The 19,866-nt window shown below is 51.7% G+C and overlaps 2 non-coding genes across 2 annotated transcripts; both read right to left on the bottom strand.

Moving 5' to 3' along the window:
- Positions 1 to 9: 9 nt before the first annotated feature.
- Positions 10 to 92, bottom strand: LOC124900482 (small Cajal body-specific RNA 18). Its single transcript, XR_007068172.1, has one exon.
- An 85-nt stretch (positions 93 to 177) lies between these two features.
- LOC124905174 (small Cajal body-specific RNA 17) lies at positions 178 to 320 on the bottom strand. Its single transcript, XR_007068178.1, has one exon.
- Positions 321 to 19,866: the final 19,546 nt, after the last annotated feature.

The following is a 19,866-nucleotide window of genomic DNA, read 5'->3' as shown; positions in this document are numbered from 1 at the left end:
TTTTTTTCCTGGCTGCAGTCTATTCCCAGAACACATTCCATCACATGGTTCCCAGAACTCAGATTGTGCGGTGGCCACGTCATCATTGGCTGGGGCTCACAGTCACAGCAGCAGAGGCCTCCCTAAACCTCCCTCTCCTCTAGCCCCACCCGCTGTCCCCTGCTCCTCATGCCCCCATGCTGTGTCCCCTGGCCTCACTTCCGTTGCCATGTTTTCATAATCCTCTCAGGCTCTGGGCAGCAGCGCTGCCCACAGTAGGACCAGATCATGTAAGGAAAATACTGCAGGCTCATCTTGGGGCTGCACTGGCGACCTGAGAACACCTTATCCTACTGTACCTGCTGCACCTCATCTGACACCAGCTTCTCTGCTTTGCCCAAGGTCCCTAGGCCCTGAATGCTTACTTTTTAAGGTCAGCCTGGCTCAGGATATGCTAGTTTGGCTGCAGAGGGTCCTACTAAGAGCCAGGACTGAGGAGCAAGGCCCAAAAAACTCCTCTGGGCCACATCTTCCCCGAGGGCATCCCCGCAGGGAGGCCGTGTGCTGCTGAGCCCTTTGCTAGGAGTGGGTAGTCAGTGTCTCCCACATGACGATCTTGCTTCATTCAGATAGCTTTCGTAGCTCACTGCTTTTCTGAGTCACTTCCTGTGAGGGATCACCTTGGGATGGAATTTCTTTTCCTTTTTTTTTTTTATTTGGAGACAGAGTCTCGCACTGTCACCCAGGCTGGAGTGCAATGGCACAATCTCGGCTCACCACAACCTCTGTCTCCCGGGTTCACACAATTATCCTGCCTTAGCCTCCCGAGTAGCTGGGATTACAGGTGCACACCACTACACCTGGCTAATTTTTTGTATTTTTAGTAGAGACAGTGTTTCACTATGTTGGCCAGACTAGTCTCAAACTCCTGACCTCGTGATCTGCCCGCCTCAGCCTCCCAAAGTGCTGGGATTACAGGCGTGAGCCACTGCGTCCGGCCTTCTTTTCCACTTTTTTTTTTTTTTTTTTTTGAGATGGAGTCTTGCTCTGTTGCCCAGGCTGGAGTGCAGTGGTGCAATCTCAGTTCACTGCAAGCTCTGCCTCCCGGGTTCACGCCATTCTCCTGCCTCAGCCTCCTGAGTAGCTGGGACTACAGGCGCCCGCCACCACGCCTGGCTAATTTTTTGTATTTTTACTAGAGACGGGGTTTCACTGTGTTAGCTAGGATGGTCTCAATCTCCTGACCTCATGATCCGCCCACCTCAGCCTCCCAAAGTGCTGGGATTACAAGCATGAGCCACCGCGCCTGGACCTTTCCTTTTTTTGAGACAGAGTCTTGGTCTGTTGCCCAGGCTGGAGGGCAGTGGCACAATCACAGCTCACTGTAGTCTTGAGCTTCAGGGCTCAAATGATTCTCTCACCTCAGCCTCCCAAGTAGCTGGGACTACAGATGTGCACCACCACACCTGGCTAATTTGGTGTGTGTGTAGAAGCAGGGGTCTCACTGTGTTGCCCAGGCTGGTCTCAAACTCCTGGGCTCAAGCAATCTGCCTGCCTCAACCTCCCAAAGTGCTGGGATTACAGGCCTGAGCCACCACACCTGATGCCTGGCTAATTTTTAAATTTTTTGGTAGAGATGGGGTCCCACTATGTTGCCCAGGCTGGTCTGGAACTCCTGCGCTCAAGTGATTCTCCTGCCTTGGCCTCCCGAAGTGCTGGGATTACAGGCCTGAGCCACTGCACACAGAGGGCATTTCTTTATTTGCCCCATTTTGCAGAAGAGCTTCCTGAGGCTCAGAGAGGCCCCTCATCTAAGGTCACATCATGGCTCAAAGTCACCTCCTCCATAGACTCCCCAGGCTGCCCCTCTGGGAGGGCGGGAATGAGGGGTGGTCTTTATCCTTCTCTCCCTCTCTTTGATACCCTTTTGTTTCCCCACGTCCAACAACACTGTCAGAGGAAAGACACTTCCAGAATACCCAGGTAAAAAAAAAAAAAGAGACAATAAGGAAAGGACACTGCCTTCTCCGGTGTCATCAGAAATGATTGAAAGAGGCCGGGCGCGGTGGCTCACGCCTGTAATCCCAGCACTTTGGGAGGCCAAGGTGGGCAGATCACGAGGTCAGGAGATCGAGACCATCCTGGCTAACACGGTGAAACCCCATCTCTACTAAAAATACAAAAAAATTAGCTGGGCGTGGTGGCGGGCGCCTGTAGTCCCAGCTACTCGGGAGGCTGAGGCAGGAGAATGGCATGAACCCGGGAGGTGGAGCTTGCAGTGAGCCGAGACTGCACCACTGCACTCCAGCCTGGGTGACAGAGCGAGACTCCGTCTCAAAAAAAATTAAAAAATAAATAAATAAATAGGCCGGGTGCCATGGCTCACACCTGTAATCCCAGCACTTTGGGAGGCTGAGGCAGGCGGATCACAAGGTCAGGAGTTCAAGACCAGCCTGACCAATACAGTGAAACACTGTCTCTACTAAAAATACAAAAAAATTAGCTGGACGTGGTGACATGCACCTGTAGCCCCAGCTACTTGGGAGGCTAAGCAGAAGAATCACTTGAACCCGGGAGGCAGAGGTTGCAGTGAGCCAAGATAGTGCCACTGCACCCCAGCCTGGGCGACAGAGAAAGACTCCATCTAAAAAATAAATAAATAAATAAATCACATTAAAAATAAACTTAATTTTTTTTAAAATTTAAGTTTAAAAAAGTAGGCCAGGTGCGGTGGCTCACGCCTGTAATCCCAGAACTTTGGGAGGCCGAGGTTGGTGGATCACGAGGTCAGGAGTTCAAGACCAGCCTGACCAACATGGTGAAACCCCATCCCTACTAAAAATACAAAAATTAGCTGGGTGTGGTGGTGGGTGCCTGTAATCCCAGCTACTCGGGAGGCTGAAACAGAGAATTGCTTGAACCCTGGAGGTGGAGGTTGCAGTGAGCCAAGAATGCGCCACTGCACTCCAGGCTGGTGACAGAGTGAGACTCCGTCTCAAAAAAAATAAAAATAAAAAATCACTGGGCATGGTGGCCTGCGCCTATAGTCCCAGCTACTCCGGAGGCTGAGGCAGGAGAAATGCTTGAACCCAGGAGGTGGAGCTTGCAGTGAGCCGAGATCGTGCCACTGCACTCCAGCCTGGGCGACAGAGCGAGACTCCATCTCAAAAAAAGAAAAGGAAGGAAGGAAGGAAGGAAGGAAAGAAGGAAGGAAGGAAGATTAAATGTCAATGGCTCATACTTGTAATCTCAGCACTTTGGGAGGCGAGGCAAGTGGATCGCTTGAGCACAGGAATTCAAGACCAGCCTGGGCAACATGTTGAAACCCCGTATCTACTAAAAATACAAAAATTGGCCTGATATGGTGGTTCACACCTATGGTCCCAACTACTCGAGAAGGTGAGGTGGGAGAATCGCTTGAGCCTGGGAAGCAGTGGTTTCAGTGAGCCAAGATTGAGCTACTGCACTCCAGCCTGGGTGACAGAGTGAGACCCTGTCTCAAAAGAAAAATAAAATAAAATAAATGACAATGTAAAGGCAAATTTTGTCTATAACAACATCATAATAGGACATTGAATTATTACAGTGCAGTTGTTATAATTAAGTTTACAATAGAATATTCATGGCTGAAACCCAGACAAACTAAAATCACCAACTGCTTACAAACCAACTGCTTACTAGTGAAAACCCAAATAGGTAAGGCTTTTTTTTAGCAGTGAGTCTCTGCTCAGTGAGGACCTGGGCACCCTCATTTTTTTGAGTCTTGGTATTTCTTTCCATCTGAAAGGATGGAGCGGATGTGTGGATCCCCAGCGTTTTCAGTTCTTCCACCTGGTCCTCATTCTGTCATGGCGTGATCATGGCTCACTGCAGCCTCAACCTCCAGGGCTCAAACCATCCTTCCCGCTCAGCCTCCTGAGTATCTGGAGGCATGTGCCACCACACCCAGCTAATTAATGTGTGTGTGTGTGTGTGTGTGTGTGTGTGTGTGTGTGTAGAGATGAGGAATTCTCGCTATGTTGCCTAGCTTGGCTCCAACTCCTGGCCTGAAGCCATCCTCCTGCCTCTGCCTCCCAAGGAATAGTTGATTTTTGTTGTTGTTGTTGTTTTGAGATGGAGTCTCACTCTGTCACTCAGGCTGTGGTGCAGTGGTTCGATCTTGGCTCACTGCAGCCTCCTGGGTTCAAGCGATTCTCCTGCCTCAGCCTCCTGAGTAGCTGGGCCTGCAGGTGCATGCCACCATGCCCAGCTAATTTTTTTTTTCTTTTTTTTTGAGACAGAGTCTCACTCTGTCACCCAAGCTGGAGTACAGTAGTGTGATCTCGGCTCATTGCAACCTCCGCCTCCTGGTGCAAGTGATTCTCATGTCTCAGCCTCCCAAGTAGCTGGGATTACAGGCATGCACCACCATACCCAGCTAATTTTTTGTATTTTAGAAGAGACGGTGTTTCGCTATGTTGGCCAGACTGGTCTCGAACTCCTGACCTCAGATGATCTACCCGCCTTGCTCCAAAACTGCTGGGATTTCAGGTAGGAGCCACTGCACCCGGCCTATGGAATAGTTTTCAATGCCTTGTCTAGCTAGGGATCATTGAACATGTTGTATGCGGGGTAGACTGCAGCTGCAGGATCTGTACCAGGGTGTTGGTGAAGACGCAATGGGGTTGCCCCAGCGTCCTTGAGAAAGACTACCACCTTGTGGCCGGGCGCGGTGGCTCATGCCTGTAATCCCAGCACTTTGGGAGGCTGAAGCAGGTGGATCACGAGGTCAGGAGTTCGAGACCAGCCTGGCCAAGATGGTAAAACCCCGTCTCTTCCAAAAATATTTTAAAAATTATCTGGGTGTGGTGGCTCGCGCCTGTAATCCCAGCTACTCAGGAGGCTGAGGCAGAGAATTGCTTGAACCCGGGAGGCAGAGGTTGCAATGAGTCGAGATCATGCCACTGCACTCCAGCCTAGGAGACAGAGTGAGACTCTGTCTCAGAAAAAAAAAAAAAAGCAAAAACCTACCACCTTGCACTTCGTTCAACAGAGTGTCCAGTTGCTCCACAGAGCCTGCACTCCACAGTCTGCCGCCACCCGTGCCACACTCACAGCAAAGCAGAGTTCCCACTGCTCAGCCCAGGGACCTGCTCAATCCTGCTCGCTCACTGGAGCCCTTGACGGACTGGGACCTCGGCTGGCAGGTCTTTGGCTTCCTTCCCTTAGCATAATGTCCTTGAGCTTCATCCATGTTGCAGCATGTGTCAGAATTTCCTTCCTTTCATGAATAATTGTTTAAGGCCAGGGTGGTGGCACAAGCCTGTAGTTCCAGCACTTTGGAAGGCCAAGGTGGATGGATCACTTGAGCCAAGGAGTTGGAGACCAGCATGGGTAACATGGCAAAACCTCATCTCTATTATTATTATTTTTATTTTTATTTTATTTTATTATTATTTTTTGAGGTGGAGTTTCGCTCTGTCGCCCAGGCTGGAGTGCAATGGCACGATCTTGGCTCACTGCAAGCTCCGCCTACCGGGTTCACGCCATTGTCCTGCCTCAGCCTCCCAAGTAGCTGGGACTACAGGCGCCCACCAGCACACCCGGCTAATTTTTTGTATTTTTAGTAGAGACAGGGTTTCACCATGTTAGCCAGTATGGTCTCGATCTCCTGACCTTGTGATCTGCCCGCCTCGGCCTCCCAAAGTGCTGGGATTACAGGTGTGAGCCACCGTGCCCGGCCTATTATTATTATTTTGAGACAGAGTCTTGCTCTGTCACCCAGGCTGGAGTGCAGTAGTACCATCTTGGCTCACTGCAACCTCCGCCTCCCAGGTTCAAGTGATTCTCCTGCCTCAGCCTCCCAAGTAGCCAGGATTATTGGCCGCCCGCCACAATGCCTGGCTAATTTTTTTGTATTTTTAGTACAGACAGGGTTTCACCATGTTGGCCAGGATGCTCTCTAACTCCTGAACTCAGGTGATCTGCCTGCCTTGGCCTCCCAAAGTGTTGGGATTACAGGCGTGAGCCACTGCACCTGGCCTTCATCTATTTTATTTATTTTATTTTATTTTATTTTATTTTATTTTTTATTTTATTTTATTTTATTTTATTTTATTTTATTTTATTTTATTTTATTTTATTTATTTTATTTTTTGAGACAGGGTCTTGCTCTGTCTCCCAGGCTGGAGTGCAGTGGTGCTATCTTGGCTCACTGCAGTCTCCGCCTCCCGGGTTCAAGCGATTCTCTTGCTTCAGCCTCTCGAGTAGCTGGAACTAGAGGCATGCGTCACCATGCCCAGCTCAGGTTTGTATTTTTAGTAGAGGCAGGGTTTCACCATGTTGCCCAGACTGGTCTCGAACTCCTGACCTCAAGTGATCCACCCACCTTGGCCTCCCAAAGTGCTGAGATTACAGGTGTGAGCCACCACACCCGGCCTCATCTCTATTATTTTAAAAAACATATTTTTTGGCCGGGTGCAGTGGCTCACACCTATAGTTCCAGCACTTTGGGAGGCCGAGGCGGGTGGATCACAAGGTTAGGAGTTCCAGACCAGCTTGGCCAATATGGTGAAACCCTGTCTCTACTAAAAATACAAAAATTAGCTGGGCGTGGTGGCGCGTGCCTGTAGTCCCAGCTACTTGGGAGGCTGAGGCAGAAGAATCACTTGAACCCAGGAGGCGGAGGTTGCAGTGAGCTGACATCATGCCACTGCACTCCAGCCTGGGCGACAGAGTGAGACTCTGTCTCAAAAAAATCCCATATTTTTTAATTGTTTAAAATTATTATTAATATTTATTTATTTTATTTATTTTTTTTTTTGATGGAGTCTCGCACTGTCACCCGGGCTGGAGTGCAATGGCGTAATCTCGGCTCACTGCAACCTCCGCCTCATGGGTTCAAGTGATTCTCCTGCCTCAGCCTCCCAAGTAGCTGGGATTACAGGTGCCCGCCACCACGCCTGGCTAATTTTTTTCTATTTTTAGTAGCGACGAGGTCTCACTATGTTGGCCAGGCTGGTCTTGAACTCCTGACATCATGATCCGCCCACCTCGGCCTCTCAAAGTGCTGGGATTACAGGCATGAGCCACTGCACCTGGCCTATTATTTTTTTCTTGTTTTTTAATTTCCATATATTTTTTTTCTTCTTCTTCTTACTTTTTAAAAGTTTTATTTATTTATTTATTTATTTTTTGAGACAGTTTCACTCTGTCACCCAGGCTGGAGTACAGTGGGGTGATCTTGGCTCACTGCAACCTCCGCCTCCCAGGTTCAAGCCATTCTCCTGCCTCAGCCTCTCGAGTAGCTGGGATTACAGGTGCCCACCACCATGCTCGGCTAATTTTTTGTGTTTTTAGTGGAGATTGGGTTTCACCATGTTGGCCAGGCTGGTCTCGAACTTCTGACCTCAAGTGATCCACCCCGCCCCCACCTTGGCCTCCCAAAGTGCTAGGATTATAGGCGTGAGCCACTGCACCCGGCCTATTTCTTTTTTATTTTTATTTTTATTTTTATTTTTTGGAGATGGAGTTTCACTCTTGTTGCCTGGGCTGGAGTGCAACGGCACAATCTCAGCTTACTGCAACCTCACCTTGCAGGTTCAAGCGATTCTCCTGCCTTAGCCTCCCGAGTAGCTGGGATTACAGGCACACACCACCGCGCCCAGCTAATTTTGTATTTTTAGCAGAGATGGGGTTTCTCCATGTTGGCCAGACTGGTATCGAACTCCCGACCTCAGGTGATCCGCCCGCCTTGGCCTCCCAAAGTGCTGGGATTATAGGCGTGAGCCATCGCGCCTAGCCAATTATTATTTTTTAAGAGACTGGGGTCTCACTATATTTACCAGGATGGTCTCAAACTCCTGGCCTCAAGAGATCCTTCCGCCTCAGCCTCCCAAAGTGCTGGGATTACAAGCATGAGCCATTACGCCAGGTCTTTATCTAGGTTTTTCTATTGTCTGTATTTCATCATCCAACCATCCCCTACCAGAGTGTGCCTGGCCAATTTTCTTCCCTTCTTCCACCACACGTTTCTTTTTTTTTGTTTGTTTGTTTGAGACAGTGTCTCACTCTGTCACCCGGGCTGGAGTGCAGTGGCATGATCTTGGCTCACTGCAACCTCCACCTCCTAGGTTCAAGCGATTCTCATGCCTTGGCCTCCAGAGTAGCTGGGATTATAGGCATGTGCCACCACACCTGGCTAACTTTTGTATTTTCAGTAGAGAGGGGGTTTCCCCATGCTGTCTGTGCTGGTTTCCAACTCCTGGCTTCAAGTGATTCGCCTGCCTCAGTCTCCCAAAGCGCTGGGATTATAGGTGTGAGCCACCACACCTGGCCTCCTTCCTTTTTAAGGCTGAATAATAGTCCATTGTGTGTATGTAATGCATTTTGTTTATCCATTCATCTGTCAATGGATACTTTGGTCGTTTCTACCTTTTAGCTATTGTGAATAATACTGCTGCTCTCCTTTACACTTTTTCAAAGCACTAGATCCCTGATGAGCCCACAGCCTAGAAATGGAGTCTGAGCACAGTAAGCCACAAGACAGCTGCTTCTGCCGAGAGGACAGCCTGGGACCTTTTGGGTCAGGGGCAAGAGACTTGGAGGTTGGCAGGCTGCTCTCTGACTGAGAAGTGGGGACAAGTATGGTTCCCACACACTAGGGAAGCAATGACAGACTAGCAAGAGAATAGAAACTTTAATTCATGCACTCTCAGGCCAGGCATGGTGGTGCAGACCTGTAATCCCAGCACTTTGGAAGGCCAAAGTGAGCCACTGTGCCCTGTTGTGTTTTGATTTTTGAGACAGAATCTGGCTGTCACCCAGGCTGGAATGCAGTAGCACGATCATAGCCTCAACTTCCTGGGCTCAAGTGATCCTCTCACCTCAGCCTCCTGAGTAACTGGGACTACAGGTGCATGTCACCACACCTAGCTAATTTTTCTTTTTTTTTTGAAACATAGTCTTGCTCTGTCACACAGGCTGGAGTGCAGTAGCACGATCTAGGCTCACTGCAACCTCTGTCTCCCAGGCTCAAGCAATTCTCTTGCTTCAGCCTCCCGAGTAGCTGGGATTACAGGCATGCGCCACCACGCCCAGCTAATTTTTGTATTTTTAGTAGAGACGAGGTTTCACCATGTTGGCCAGGGTGGTCTCAAACTCCTGACCTCGGGTAATCTGCCCACTTTGGCCTCCCTAAGTGTTAGGATTACAGGCATGAGCCACCATGCCTGGCAATTTTTTTGTACAGATGGAATTTTGCCATGTTGCCCAAGCTGGTCTCAAATTCCTGGGCTCAAGCAATTCACCTACCTTGGCCTCCCTACAGGCATGAGCCACTGAGCCTAGCCTCCAGCTAATTTTTACATTTTTTGTAAAGACAGGGTCTTGCTATGTTGCCCAGGCTGATCTCAAACACCTGGCCTCAAGAGATCCTCCTGCTTGGCCTTTCAAAGCACTTGGATTATTGGTGTGAGCCACCACTTCCCACCTAGCCTGTTCCATCACTTTTTACTTAATTTCACAACTTTCCCTGACCATTGCCTCAAATCAGCTTTTTTTCTGACAGCTGCGTTGTAGTCTTTGTCAGAGTTATGAGGGGCACCCCCACTCTTCACTCCAGCCCCCACCTGTTTTATTTTCCTCCATAACCCTCATCACCCCCCAGCATGTTACCTAGGTTTTTATCTTTTTTTTTTTTTTTTTAATTAAGACAAGGTCTCGGCCAGGCTCAGTGGCTCACGCCTGTAATCCTAGCACTTTGGGAAGCCGAGGCGGGTGGATCACGAGGTCAGCAGATCGAGACCATCCTGGCTAACACAGTGAAACCCCGTCTCTACTAAAAATACAAAAAAATTAGCCAGGCGTGGTAGCGGGCGCCTGTAGTCCCAGCTACTCAGGAGGCTGAGGGGCGCCTATAGTCCCAGCTACTCGGGAGGCTGAGGCAGGAGAATAGCATGAATCCGGGAGGCGGAGCTTGCAGTGAGCCGATCGCGCCACTGCACTCCAGCCTGGATGACACAGTGAGACTCCGTCTCAAAAAAAAAAAAAAAAAAAAGACAAGGTCTCACTCTGTCACCCAGGCTACAGTATGGAGTACAGTGGCGCAACCACAGCTCACTGCTCACTGCGGCCTTGACTTCCTGGGCTGTCGATCCTCCCACCTAAACCTCCCAAGTAGCTGGGACTGTAGGCATGAGCCAACATGCCTGGCTAATTTTTGTATTTTCCGTAGAGACAGGGTTTCGTTCAAGCCACTGCACCTGATCGTGTGTTTTGGGCAACTCTGGGAGCAGTGGCACAGGAAAGAAGAAAGGGACTGGGGACAGGTGCCAACCCATCAGCTGGTGTGGACCTCCTCCCCCTGGGAGGGTTACAAGTCCAGGGAGGAGGACCTCATGCTGCCGCCAGGGGGCAGCCTAGGTGCACTTTAGGGTCATTCTCCAGGGGCTGCACACCTGGCAGAGCTGCCTGGGCCACACCTGCCTGCCCAGTGTAAGGGGGAATAGGAAATACTGTATCTTTTTGACCAAGCAGGCCTGGAATCCACACCCCACCCGACCAGCCCCATTCTCTCCCTCCCTTCTCCCCAGAGCACCCTAGGCAGCCCACCCCCCACATAACCGAGAGGGGCTGTCCTTCCAGGGGAGCAGGGACCAGTGTCAGGCCTGGTCATTCTGACACCCACCCACAGAAAGATCTCCTTCTTCACCCCTCTGGCAGCCCTGCTCCCCTAAATCCTCAACTTCAGAGGCCATGGGCAGTTTTAAAGAAGCATAAGGCTGGAGAGGCAGGGCCACAGAGCCACTGGGCTCCAGAACCCAGTCACTGGATCCAAATGCCAGCCTGCTCACAGACAGCTGCAAGGCCTCTCTGAGCCTCATTTTCCCAGACTGTGGCAGAACTGGTTTTGTTTTGAGCAGGTCAGGTGTGCAGAACACTTGGCCTGGTGTCAGGACCCCGAGAAAGACCCAGACAGCTGATGAGAAGGGGGGCGTCATGGCTTGTGCCTGCAATCCCAGCTACGGCGGAGGCAGAGAGGGGAGGATCACTTGCGACCAGGAGTTCGAGACAAGCCTAGGCAACATGGTGAGACTCTGTCTCTACAAAAAAAATTTAAAATAGGCCGGGCGCGGTGGCTCACGCCTGTAATCCCGGCACTTTGGGAGGCCGAGGCGGGTGGATCACCAAGTCAGGAGATGGAGACCATCCTGGCCAACACGGTGAAACCCCGTCTCTACTAAAAATACAAAAAATTAGCGGGGTGTGGTGGCACGCACCTATACTCCCAGCTACTCAGGAGGCTGAGGCAGGAGAATTGCTTGAACCCGGGAAGCAGAGGTTGCAGTGAGCTGAGATCGCACCACTGCACTCCAGCCTGGGCGACAGAGCGAGACTGTGTCTCAAAAAAAAAAAGAAAAAAGAAAAAAAAAGAAAGCTGATGAGGGCACAGGTCGGGGGTGGGGGCAAGGGAGCACAGTTCTAAGCCCCAGCTTGGCTCCCCGTGCAGAGCCCTGAGAATCTGGAGACTTTCAGCAGAAGGGAAGGCCGCACAGGTCTAGCAAGTTGGCAGGCTGCTGGGGGGTAGGGGTGGGCTGGGAAGGAGGTGGATGCCTGGCTGTGGCCTGCACCAGGCCCCTTCCCTGACTGACTGCACGACCTGGAGGCCCAAAACCTGTCCAGTCCAGACCTGCCCAGGAGGGGAACGAGGGGGGATGGGCAGCCCAGCCGGCCCGAAGGCAGAGGAGCCTAACGAGTGGGCGAAGGGGCGGTGTCCGGAGAGTTCTGGTGCAAGGGTCACTAAGCCTGTCCAGGCCCCATCCACCCCTGCCCAGGCGCCTCTGGCCCATCTGCCCCCTCCACCTCTAGCTGACCTGCCCCCTCTCGCTCACTGCGGCTATGGATTTTGAAAGCATGAGGCTAACTGATCAATTTCAGAGTCATTGTAAAAAATCTGGAGAAGATTTCACAAGAACACGATATGAAAGATACGACTTTTTAAAAGCTCAGAGATATCTCTGCAGCCTATTTTAAGCTCATTCCACCTTCTGGTCACACCCTACTCTCCCTGTCTCACTACTGGGGTGGTTGAATTTGGAGGCTGGGTGGGGTGTGCAGGAGGTCAGGTGTTCCATCTGAGGCGGAACAAGATGGGCCAACTCTAGTCTTGTGAAACAAAGCACATTGCCAGGTGGAGCTGGCTCCAGGAACCTAGGCACAGAGGGTTCCACACACGGTGGCATTGCTGACACCGCAGCCGGCCGCACAGGTCCTGCCAGCCTCCAGGCTCAGCCCCACCTGTCCCTGTCTTCGGTGCTGGGTGGGGTCTATAATGGGTTGTTCCCCCAGGCTGGAATGCTCTGTTTGGAAGATCTCCTAAACATCCCCCGCCCACAGGGCCCATCCACCCTCCCCATAAAGCCCTAGCCCTCACTATCTATATCTGATATCCACAGGCTTCTGTGCCGTCTTTTTGCCCTTTCACGGGGTCCCTAGAAGCCCCAGTAAATCCTCCTGTCACTGACGGCCTGGCTGGTTGTACCTACCTTGGTGGAACTCCAGGACCTGGGCCTCAGTCTTAGGGTTGCCACGGTGCACAGCCTCTTGGTCAGGGTGCTTTGGGTCGAAGGTGCCCTCCTGAGGGCAAAGTACCTTCCTGCCCAGCCTGAGAATGGAGTGGGGGCTGAATGTGAACCCTGGCCCACTCACTTCTCAGTTGAGAGACCTCAGGCAGTTCCTTTGTTTTTTGACTTTCAGCCTCAATTTCCTCTTCCCTAAAATTGGCCTTCCAGCTGCCCTGTGCCTACAGCCAGCTCACTCCCAGGTATCCTTTGAAAGCACCCTCCACCACCTCTTGCAGGCAGCCTTCCCCATTCTCCCCTCCCTTACAGGATTTAGCTACCCCTCCCACGTGCTCGGACAGCCCTTAGGCATAATCCCAAAACGCACCCAGGAATTACTCATTCATCCTGCTACCTCACCCTTCAGACTGTCTTACTCCACCCTGCACCCTGAATGCAGGTACCTGGACCTGGCATGGACCAGGCAACGGGATTTGTGGACTAACCCATTTCCAACTTAGGAAAGGCACCAACCAGCTCGTGAATGAGAAGCACTAGACTGAGGCTCTCAGCGGCCATACTTCCCCTGGAAAACTGACCTTTCCTGAGCTCACATATTGCTCAGCACAGCATACCCAGCTAGTTTAATTATTTCCCCCTTTTACATAGGGAATAACTCAGATTTGGAGAGGGGTGTGGTCATTTAGCAGGTTGGGGGCAGAGCTGGGGGCCCGAACCCAGGTGTGTCCCTTTGACCAATGCCCTTATCTGTAGGATTCCTTCCCCCACCCTGGGGCAGGGCCTGGGTCTAGGGAGGAGGCCAGAGGGAGAGATAGGAATTCAAATTGGTGGTGCTGGTGGTGGGGGAAGGCGAGGCCCTGGGAGTGGCCAGTACTCAGGGCTTGGGCAACAGGGTGCTCTGCAGAGCCACTGGGTGGGGGGAACAGCAGGGGCAGGCACAGACCTGCTGAGTCAGAGACGCCGCAGGGACTCCAGGGGGAGGTGTTTGGCAGATGGCTGTGGGCTGGGGCCCGGCAAAAGCACCACAGGGTGGTGGGTCAAGGAGTAGAATTGGGTGCTGAGGCCCTAGCCAGGACCAGGGGATGTAAGAAGGAGGAGGCCTTGGAGAGGGCAGGGGGCAACGTTTTCCAGAAGGAGGGAGTGGTCAGTCTCCACAAGGTCAGGCAAGATAAGCGCTACTGCACCCAGCCTCCCTCATGACTGTGACCAGAGGCTGTTGCCCCAGCTCAGGGGCTTCCTAGCATCTTGGCCATGAGGGATATGTGTAGCCCCCGCCCCACCCCCCGCCATCTGAGGCCCTGCTGGGCCCTGGTGATGGAGGAAGGCTCCCCAGAGAAAACTAGGAAGATAAAGTTTGCAAATTCCATGCCATTAGGCCTTGGTCCACTCCCACCCTCTTTATTATTATTATTATTATTATTATTATTATTATTATTATTTTATTATTTGTTTGTTTTTTTTTTTGAGACGGAGTTTCGCTCTTGTTGCCCAGGCTGCAGTGCAATGGTGTGATCTCAGCTCACTGCAACCTCTGCCTCCCAGGTTCGAGAGATTCTCCCAGGTCAGCCTCCCAAGCAGCTGGGATTACAGGCGCCTGCCACCACGCCCGACTAATTTTTGTACTTCTGTAGAGACAGAGTTTCACCATGTTGGCCAGGCTGGTCTCGAACTCCTGACCTCGAGTGATCTGCCTGCCTCGGCCTCCTAAAGTGCTGGGATTACAGGCGTGAGCCACCACGCCAGGCCCTCTTTTTATTTTAGACACAGGGTTTCACTCTGTTGCCCAGGTTGGAGTACAGTGGTGCTATCATAGCTCACTTCAGCCTCAACCTCTCCAGGCTCAAGCAATCCTCCCACCTCAGCCTCCCAAGTAGCTGGGACTACAGGTGCCACCACCACGCCTGGCTAATTTTTTAAAAAGTTTTTTGTAGAAACAAGGTCTTGCTATGTTGCCTAGGCTGTTCTGGACCTCCTGACTCTGTCTCCCAAAGTGTTGGGATTACAGGTGTGAGTTCATTGCACACAGCCCATCCCTTTCACTACAGGAGGCAAGCCAGAGCCCCAAAGAGGTTCTTGGTGCCTCAAGAACCCTGTTCCTCAGCCCATATTGAGGAGGGGATGTGTTTTCTCCACTCCTGCCCCACCTCCAAACTGCTAGAGAGGAACCTCAGCAGGGAAATGAAGCATTGCTTCACCTTGCCTCTACCTCTGGCCCTGGGGTACCCTCTCTGTCCACTTGACCCCCACTCCTCCAACCACTGAGGCTGTGCTGACCTTCTGCCTGCTCCATCCTGTAACTACCTCACATTCACACAACCCAATGAAGTAGATATGGCTCTGAGTTCCATTTCACAGGTATGAAAACTGAGGTCCATAGAAGTCAGTTCTAGGGCGTCTGGCCTAGTGGCACAGCCAGGACTTTTTTTTTTTTTTGAGACCAAGTCTCGCTCTGTCACCACACTGGAGTGTAGTGGCACGATCTCAGCGCACTGCAACCTCTGCCTCCCGGGTTCAAGTGATTCTTCTGCCTCAGCCTCCGGAGTAGCTGGGATTACAGGTACGCGCCACCGTGCCCGCCTCGGCCTCTGAAAGTGGTAGGATCATAGGCGTGAGCCACTGAGTTCGGCATTTTTTTTTTTTTTAATTTTTGGACTTTTTTTTTTGGAGACTGAGTCTCTGTCACCCAGGCTGGAGTGTAATGGTGCGATCTTGGCTCACCGCAACCTCTGCCTCCCAGTTTCAAGTGATTCTCTTGCCTCAGCCTCCCGAGTAGCTGGGATTACAGGCATGTGCCACCACGCCAGGCTAATTTTGTATATATATGTATATATTTTTTTTTAGTAGAGATGGGGTTTCACCATATTGGTCAGGCTGGTCTCCAACTCCCGAACTCAGGTGATCCGCCCACCTCGGCCTCCTAAAGTGCTGGGATTACAGGCGTGAGCCACCGCGCCCGGCCGGATTTGGTTCCTGGTTCGACTATCTCCCCATGGGTTTCACCGAGAAACAGCCCTGCTGGCCCTTGTCTCCACCTATCACAGAAGAACAACTGGGTCCCCTCCTTTACCCATCCTGGGGCCACTGTATCCTACACACAGACCCCAGAAGACAGACCCTGCCAGTCTAATGGTGGAGACAACTCTGAGATCAAATGGCACGTGGCAGATTGATCAGGAGCAGGAGACCCAGGACCTGGGAGAGAGAGAGCACTGAATTCACAAACTACCCCAAGCAGAGGGCAAGCAAAGCTCCCTAAGAAAGTGGAGCCAGGCCAGACACGGTGGCTCACGTCTATAACCCCAACACTTTGGGAGGCCGAGGCCGGTGGATCATGAGGTCAAGAGTTCAGGACCGGCCTGGCCAAGATGGTGAAACCGTGTCTCTACTGAAAATACAAAAATTAGGCCGAGCACGGTGGCTCACGCCTGTAATCTCAGCACTTTGGGAGGCCGAGGCCAGCGGATCACGAGGTCAGGAGATTGAGACCATCCTGGCTAACACGGTGAAACCCCGTCTCTACTAAAAATACAAAATATTAGCCGGGCATGGTGGCGGACACCTGTAGTCCCAGCTACTCGGGAGGCTGAGGCAGGAGAATGGCGTGAACCTGAGAGGTGGAGCTTGCAGTGAGCCGAGATTGCGCCACTGCACTCCAGCCTGGGTGACAGAGCAAGACTCCATCTCAAAAAAAAAAAAAAATACAAAAATTAGCTTGGCATGGTGGTAGGTACCTGTAATCCAGCTACTGAGGAGGTTGAGGCAGAGAATCACTTGAACCCAGGAGGCAGAGGTTGCAGTGAGCCGAGATGGCACCACTGCACTCCAGCCTGGGCGACAGAGCGAGACTCTGTCTCAAAAAAAAAAAAAATAGCTGGGCATAGTGGTGCACACCTGTAGTCCCAGCTGCTTGGGAGACTGAGGCAGGAGGATCCCTTGAGCCCATGAGTTTGAGGCTGCAGTGGGTTATGATTACACTACTGCACTCCAGCCTGGATGACAGAGTGAGACCCTGTCTCTAAGAAACAGATAAAAATACAAATAAAAAAGAAAGAGCATGGCCAGGTGCGGTGGCTCAAGCCTGTAATCCCAGCGCTTTGGGAGGCCGAGGCTGGTAGATCACGAAGTCAGGAGTTTAAGACCAGTCTGGCCAAGATGGTGAAACCCTGTCTCTACTAAAAACACAAAAATGAGCCGGGTGTGGTGGTGGGCGCCTGTAATCTCAGCTACTCGGGAGGCTTGAGGCAGAGAATTGCTTGAACCCAGGAGGCCAAGGTTGCAATGAGCCAAGATTGCGCCATTGCACTCCAGCCTGGGGGCGACAGAGTGAGAATCTGTCTCAACAAAAAAGAAAAAGAGGCCAGGCGTGGTGGCTCAAGCCTGTAATCCCAGCACTTTGGAAGGCCGAGGCGGGCGGATCACAAGGTCAGGAGATCAAGACCATCCTGGCTAACAGGGTGAAACCCCGTCTCTACTAAAAATACAAAAAATTAGCCAGGCGTGGTGGCGGGCGCCTGTAGTCCCAGCTACTCGGGAGGCTGAGGTGGGAGAATGGCGTGAACCCGGGAGGCGGAGCTGGCAGTCAGCCGAAATCGCGCCACTGCACTCCAGCCTGGGGGACAGAGCGAGACTCCAAAAAAAAAGTGGCCGGGCGCGGTGGCTCACGCCTGTAATCCCAGCACTTTGGGAGGCCAAGGGGAGTTGATCTGGAGGTCAAGAGATTGAGACCATCCTGGCCAACCAATATGGTGAAACCCCGTCTCTACTAAAAATACACAAATTAGCTGGGCGTAGTGGTGCACACCTGTAGTCCCAGCTACTCAGGAGGCTGAGACAGGAGAATTACTTGAACTCAGGAGGCGGAGGTTGCTGTGAGCCAAGATGGTGCCACTGCACTCCAGCCTGGGTGACAAAGCGAGACTCTGTCTCAAAAAAAAAAAAAAAAAAAAAGAGCAGCCAGAGAAAACCACACTAGGAGTGACCTTAGAGCAGGCACTGAAGAACAGCAAGGCATGGCAGGCAGAGGGCATGGCAAGGGCACGGCCCCTTCCTTGGCTCCTCAGACCAGGGAAGTCAGTTCCCCTCTTATGACCAGACAAAGCAGCCTGCACCTTTTTGCCCAGCCCCAGCACCCTTGTGAGTATTCTGTCGTCTTCTCCTTAGTCTGTGGGCTTCTGAGGCCAGGGAACACATCTGTGCTGTTCACTAGCCCAGTGCCCACCTCATCATTGCTGTCAGCATCTGTTGGTTGAATGACAGTTCCATGAGTGGCCTCCCTTGGGCTCAAGGTGCCTGGCTCTGCTAGGGGTGAAGGAGTGGTGACTTGACAGGGAGGTGTGTGGTGAGGAGCGGGGCACCCATCACAGGCCTGGCCTTTGCTATAGGGAATAGGCTTGCTGGGGATGCATTCTTCAGATGGTGTTCCTAAGAGGGTGAACTGAGCTCATGTCAGTCTGAGGGGCTGGAGTCTGAGGTTAGCTACGGACCTTGGGCAGGTGACTTAACCTCTCTAACCTTGGTTTTCTACTGGGTCTTGCCCTGTCATCATGGCTAGGCTGCAGTGATGCAATCTCAGCTCACTGCAGCCTTGACCTCCTGAGCTCAAGCTATTCTCCCACCTCACCCTCCTGAGTAGCTGGGACTTCAAGCACTCACCACCATGGGCCTGGCTTTTTTCTTTTTTGTATTTGTAGAGACAGGGTTTCGCCATGTTGCCCAGGCTGGTCTGTAACTCCAGGGCTCAGCTGACCCACCCACCTCAGCCTTCCAAAGTGCTAGGATTACAGGCATGAGCCACCACCCCTGGCCTCATTCATTTGACTTTCATTTTCGTTTTTATTATTATTTGTTTTAGACTCAGGGTCTCACTCAGTCTCCCAGGCGGGAGTGCAGTGGTGTGACCTTGGCTTACTGCAGCGTCAAATTCCTGGGCTCAAATGATCCTCCTGTCTTAGCTTCTGAGTAGCTGGGACTATAGGTACATGCCACCAAGCCCGGCTAAAATTTTTTTTTTTTTGAGGCCGCGTCTGGCTGTTGCCCAGCTATAGTACAATGGCGCAAGTATAGCTCACTGCAACCTCGAATTCTTGGGCTCAAGCAATCCTCCCACCTCAGCCTCCCAAGTAGCTAGTACTATAGACGAGTGCCACCATGCCCGGCTAATTTTAAAAATTTTTTGTAGAGATGAGATGTCACTGTTTTGCCCAGGCTGGTATCAAACTCCTGGACTCAAGCAATCCTCCCGCCTTGGCTTCCCAGAGTGCTGGGATTATAGGCGCCAGCTACCATGAGTGGTCTCATTTGACTTTTTTTTTTTTTTTTTGAGACAGAGTCTTGCTCTGTAGCCCAGGCTGGAGTGCAGTTGCATGATCTCACCTCACTGTTACCTCTGTGTCCCGGGTTCAAGCAATTCTCCTGCCTCGGCTTCCCAAATAGCTGGGATTACAGGCGTGCATTACCACACCCAGCTATTTTTTTTTTTTTTTTTTTTGTATTTTTAGTGGAGACAGGATTTCATATGCTGGCCAGGCTGGTCTCGAACTCCTGACCTCAGGTGATCCTCCTGCCTCAGTCTCCCAAAGTGCTGGGATTACAGGCGCGAACCACTGTGCCCGACTTCATTTGACTTTTTTTTTTTTTTTGAGATGGAGTCTTGCTCTGTTGCCCAGGCTGGAGTGCAATGGCGCAATCTTGGCTCACTGCAACCTCTCCCTCCCGGGTTCAAGTGATTCTCCTGCCTCAGCTTCCCGAGTAGCTGGAATTACAGGTGCCTGCCACCACGTCTGGCTAATTTTTGTACTTTTAGTAGAGATGGGGTTTCACCATGCTGGCCAGGCTGGTCTCGAACTCCCAACCTCAGGTGATCTACCCGCCTTGGCCTCCTAAAGTGCTGGGATTACAGGCGTGAGCCACTGCACCTGGCCCCTCATTTGACTTTTAATTGAGAACCTACTTTGTGCCATGTATAAGCTGGATACAAGAGTGAACAAGACCAAGCCTTCCTGCCCTCATGCCAACTGCTCAGCAGTATTTCAGGACTGTATCAGGGTGATTAGCCTGGGATCACAGGAGACTTCCTACAAGAGATGATGTCTGAACTGAGTTGTTCACCAGGCACAGGTGGGAGAAGGGAGAAGGCTGGCCTGGACAGGAGGAGCCCTGGTGTGAATGCCCAGAGATGGCAGGAGAAATCATGGCGTATATAAGGTGTCTTGAGCTTGGGATATGGGAAGGTGAGAAGTGATATTGTATGGGACATACTTTTTTTTTTTTTTTTGAGACGGAGTCTCGCTGTCACCCAGGCTGGAGTGCAGTGGCACGATCTCAGCTC

This window comes from Homo sapiens, chromosome 22 (genome assembly GCF_000001405.40).
Source record: "Homo sapiens chromosome 22, GRCh38.p14 Primary Assembly".
In the NCBI taxonomy this organism is placed as follows: domain Eukaryota; kingdom Metazoa; phylum Chordata; class Mammalia; order Primates; family Hominidae; genus Homo; species Homo sapiens.
Note: the sequence above shows the minus strand (reverse complement) of the source record. Positions and strands in the feature narration are given on the sequence as shown.